At 46.3% G+C, this 2,764-nt stretch overlaps 2 annotated features.

Moving 5' to 3' along the window:
• Nucleotides 665-1,424: an enhancer, noted in NCBI's record as "NANOG-H3K27ac-H3K4me1 hESC enhancer chr2:176458063-176458822 (GRCh37/hg19 assembly coordinates)". NCBI's record gives its function as "activates a minimal SCP1, AML or CMV promoter by ChIP-STARR-seq in naive H9 embryonic stem cells {active_cell/tissue: H9 hESC(naive)}" and the evidence as "EXISTENCE:reporter gene assay evidence [ECO:0000049][PMID:30033119]".
• Nucleotides 1,425-2,182: an enhancer, noted in NCBI's record as "NANOG-H3K27ac-H3K4me1 hESC enhancer chr2:176458823-176459580 (GRCh37/hg19 assembly coordinates)". NCBI's record gives its function as "activates a minimal SCP1, AML or CMV promoter by ChIP-STARR-seq in naive H9 embryonic stem cells {active_cell/tissue: H9 hESC(naive)}" and the evidence as "EXISTENCE:reporter gene assay evidence [ECO:0000049][PMID:30033119]".

The raw sequence follows: 2,764 nt of genomic DNA on the forward strand, positions 1-2,764 counted from the left end.
TGATTTTGCAGCGGCTGGTACCGGTTGTTCCTTTCCATGTTTAGCGCTTCCTTCAGGAGCTCTTTTAGGGCAGGCCTGGTGGTGACAAAATCTCTCAGCATTTGCTTGTCTGTAAAGGATTTTATTTCTCCTTCACTTATGAAGCTTAGTTTGGCTGGATATGAAATTCTGGGTTGAAAATTCTTTTCTTTAAGAATGTTGAATATTGGCCCCCACTCTCTTCTGGCTTGTAGGGTTTCTGCCGAGAGATCCGCTGTTAGTCTGATGGGCTTCCCTTTGTGGGTAACCCGACCTTTCTCTCTGGCTGCCCTTAACATTTTTTCCTTCATTTCAACTTTGGTGAATCTGACAATTATGTGTCTTGGAGTTGCTCTTCTCGAGGAGTATCTTTGTGGCGTTCTCTGTATTTCCTGAATCTGAATGTTGGCCTGCCTTGCTAGATTGGGGAAGTTCTCCTGGATAATATCCTGCAGAGTGTTTTCCAGCTTGGTTCCATTCTCCCCATCACTTTCAGGTACACCAATGAGACGTAGATTTGGTCTTTTCACATAGTCCCATATTTCTTGGAGGCTTTGCTCATTTCTTTTTATTCTTTTTTCTCTAAACTTCCCTTCTCGCTTCATTTCATTCATTTCATCTTCCATCGCTGATACCCTTTCTTCCAGTTGATCACATGGGCTCCTGACGCTTCTGCATTCTTCACGTAGTTCTCGAGCCTTGGTTTTCAGCTCCATCAGCTCCTTTAAGCACTTCTCTGTATTGGTTATTCTAGTTATACATTCTTCTAAATTTTTTTCAAAGTTTTCAACTTCTTTGCCTTTGGTTTGAATGTCCTCCCGTAGCTCAGAGTAATTTGATCGTCTGAAGCCTTCTTCTCTCAGCTCGTCAGTCATTCTCCATCCAGCTTTGTTCCGTTGCTGGTGAGGAACTGTGTTCCTTTGGAGGAGGAGAGGCGCTCTAGTTTTTCTGTTCTGTTTTTTCCCCATCTTTGTGGTTTTATCTACTTTTGGTCTTTGATGATGGTGATGTACAGATGGGTTTTTGGTGTGGATGTCCTTTCTGTTTGTTAGTTTTCCTTCTAACAGAAAGGACCCTCAGCTGCAGGTCTGTTGGAATACCCTGCCGTGTGAGGTGTCAGTGTGCCCCTGCTGGGGGGTGCCTCCCAGTTAGGCTGCTCGGGGGTCAGGGGTCAGGGGTCAGGGACCCACTTGAGCAGACAGTCTGCCCGTTCTCAGATCTCCAGCTGTGTGCTGGGAGAACCACTGCTCTCTTCAAAGCTGTCAGACAGGGACATTTAAGTCTGCAAAGGTTACTGCTGTCTTTTTGTTTGTCTGTGCCCTGCCCCCAGAGGTGGAGCCTACAGAGGCAGGCAGGCCTCCTTGAGCTGTGGTGGGCTCCACCCAGTTCGAGCTTCCCAGCTGCTTTGTTTACCTAATCAAGCCTGGGCAATGGCCGGCGCCCCTCCCCCAGCCTCGCTGCCGCCTTGCAGTTTGATCTCAGACTGCTGTGCTAGCAATCAGGAAGACTCTGTGGGTGTGGGACCCTCCGAGCCAGGTGCGGGATGTAATCTCGTGGTGCGCCGTTTTTTAAGCCCGTCGGAAAAGCGCAGTATTCGGGTGGGAGTGACCCGATTTTCCAGGTGCCGTCCATCACCCCTTTTTTTGACTCGGAAAGGGAACTCCCTGACCCCTTATGCTTCCCAAGTGAGGCAATGCCTCGCCCTGCTTCGTCTCGCGCACGGTGCGCGCTCCCACTGACCTGCGCCCACTGTCTGGCACTCCCTAGTGAGATGAACCCGGTACCTCAGATGGAAATGCAGAAATCACTGTCTTCTGCGTCGCTCACGCTGGGAGCTGTATACCGGAGCTGTTCCTATTCGGCCATCTTGGCTCCCAAGATATAAGGTATTTAATTCGACTTTTTTTGGTAGCAAAACGTGAAAAATCTGAAATTATATCAATGGGGGACTGGTTAAACACATTATGATAAACCCATATGATAAAATAACATGTAGCTCTTAAAAGGAATACGTATAATCTCTGTAGATTGATCTGAAGGAATGTCAATAATATATTAAGAGAGAAAGAGCAAGTTACAGAAAAATGTTTAATATTATTCCATTTTAATAAACAACCACAACAGAATGACCAAATGAATATCTATATATTCAAATATGTTTGTATGAGCATGAAAAAAATTATGGAGCGATATACACTGAAGAAGTGGTTGCCAATTGACTTCTCCTTCAACCATTCTCTCTTTCTTGTTTAGAATTGTAATTACTGGGATGGGTGCGGTGGCTCACGCCTGTAATCCCAGCACTTTGGGAGGCTGAGGTGGAAGGATCACGAGGTCAGGAGTTCAAGACCAGCCTGTCCAAGATGGTGAAAGCCCATCTCTACTAAAAATACAAAAATATTAGCCAGGTGTGGTGGCAGGCGCCTGTAATCCCAGCTACTCAGGAGGCTGAGGCAGGAGAATTGTTTGAACCCAGGCAGCAGAGGTTGCAGTGAGCCGAGATAGCACAACTGCACTCCAGCCTGGGCGACAAAGCAAGACTGTCTCAAAAAAAAAAAAAAGAATTGTAATTACTTTTTAATCTCTACACAGTGCCACCCATAATAAAAGACTATGTTTCCCAGCCTCCCTTGCCATGGGTATGGCCACGTGATTCAGTGTCAGCCAATAAGGTATAGACAAAGTTGTGTGCTTAAAGGGAGACATTCTTTTTATTTCCTCTGCCTTTCCTCCTTCTTCTGGCCTG

This window comes from Homo sapiens, chromosome 2 (genome assembly GCF_000001405.40).
Source record: "Homo sapiens chromosome 2, GRCh38.p14 Primary Assembly".
NCBI lineage: Eukaryota > Metazoa > Chordata > Mammalia > Primates > Hominidae > Homo > Homo sapiens.